Source organism: Homo sapiens, chromosome 17, assembly GCF_000001405.40.
Source record: "Homo sapiens chromosome 17, GRCh38.p14 Primary Assembly".
Lineage (NCBI taxonomy): Eukaryota > Metazoa > Chordata > Mammalia > Primates > Hominidae > Homo > Homo sapiens.
Window position 1 is genome coordinate 3063945 of NC_000017.11, and position 1350 is coordinate 3065294.

Below are 1350 nucleotides of genomic sequence, written 5' to 3' on the forward strand. Positions count from 1 at the left end.
TTAATACAGGTATATGCATTACAAGAAAAGATTATTGTCCAATTGGAGGAAGTGGAGAAATAAAATATTGGAAAGGAGAAAGAAGAATTATTATTACTTGTTGATATAATGATCTCTCTGGGAAATCTAAGAAAATGAATGGAAACATCATTAGAAAAAAAAGATGTCTGTGATTAGTCAGTGAAGTGACCCATGACAAAATGAACAGGCTCTCAGCTTTCATGGTCCCCGTAAGCCACGTAGTGCAGTGCTAAAGACCGTTCTGTGGGAACTCTTTTTTTTTTTTTTTTTTAATTTTAATTTTAGATTCGGGGGTGCATGTGCAGATTTGTTACAAGGATATATTGAGAGATGCTGATGTTTGGGCATCTATTGATCCCGAACTCTTAAATTCAAGTCAAAGCACTGCCTCTTCTTGGCTGTAATGCCTCAGGCAGGTCACTTGTGTTCTTTAAGACTCAGGTTTTTTAAATGTGAAAAATGGGTTGGGGTGAGGAGAAAATTAAGGAATAAAGTACTTAACACAAAGAGCTGACATGTGGAGAGCACTCAATAAATAGTACCTGTTATTATATATGAATGATAAGAATACTAAGATTAAAATATGAAACACATTATCAGCAAACAATCTATGCATTAAGGTATTAATAAGAATCTCTATTGAGGCATAAAGTAAAAATTTATTAAATGGACAGATATAACCAAGATTCTAGATAAAAAAGATGAGATGTTGCAAAGGTGCATATTCTGAGTTGTTCTAAAATTTAACCTATTTGAAAGTCAAAATTGTAACAGGGTTTTAAAGAAACAAGAGCTAGTTTAAATTTCCTATAAAATAGGAATGAAAATAAGCTAGGAAAATGTTGAAGACAAGGAGACACTTGCTCTATTAAGAACTTTAAAATAGTGGGGGTACTGGTGCTAGAATGAACAGATCAGTAGAACTGTCTAGAAACTTAAGAAACAGCCAAGTTCATGTGGAATGTGACACTTTAATTCACCAGGGAAAGGTTGCATTATGCAATAAATGACATTAGGACAACTGTCTACTTATTTTTTGGGAAAAGTTACATCAATGTTTTGTATTTTATCAAACATACTAAAACATACCAAACATACTAGTATATTTTATCAAAATATACTAAAGATTAAAAAATTATTTTTTCCTTTTGAAAAACTGAATGTATATGGAATAAAACATTAAAAATCTGAAAAGTTATAAAGGAGATAATAAAAATTGTATCAAATTCCAGCATGTAGAGTTAGATAACCATGGCTAATGTCTTTTTAGCCGAGACATGAAGGACCACAAAAAGCCAGTCTTGTAACACAATAGGCAAAGAGCTTTGC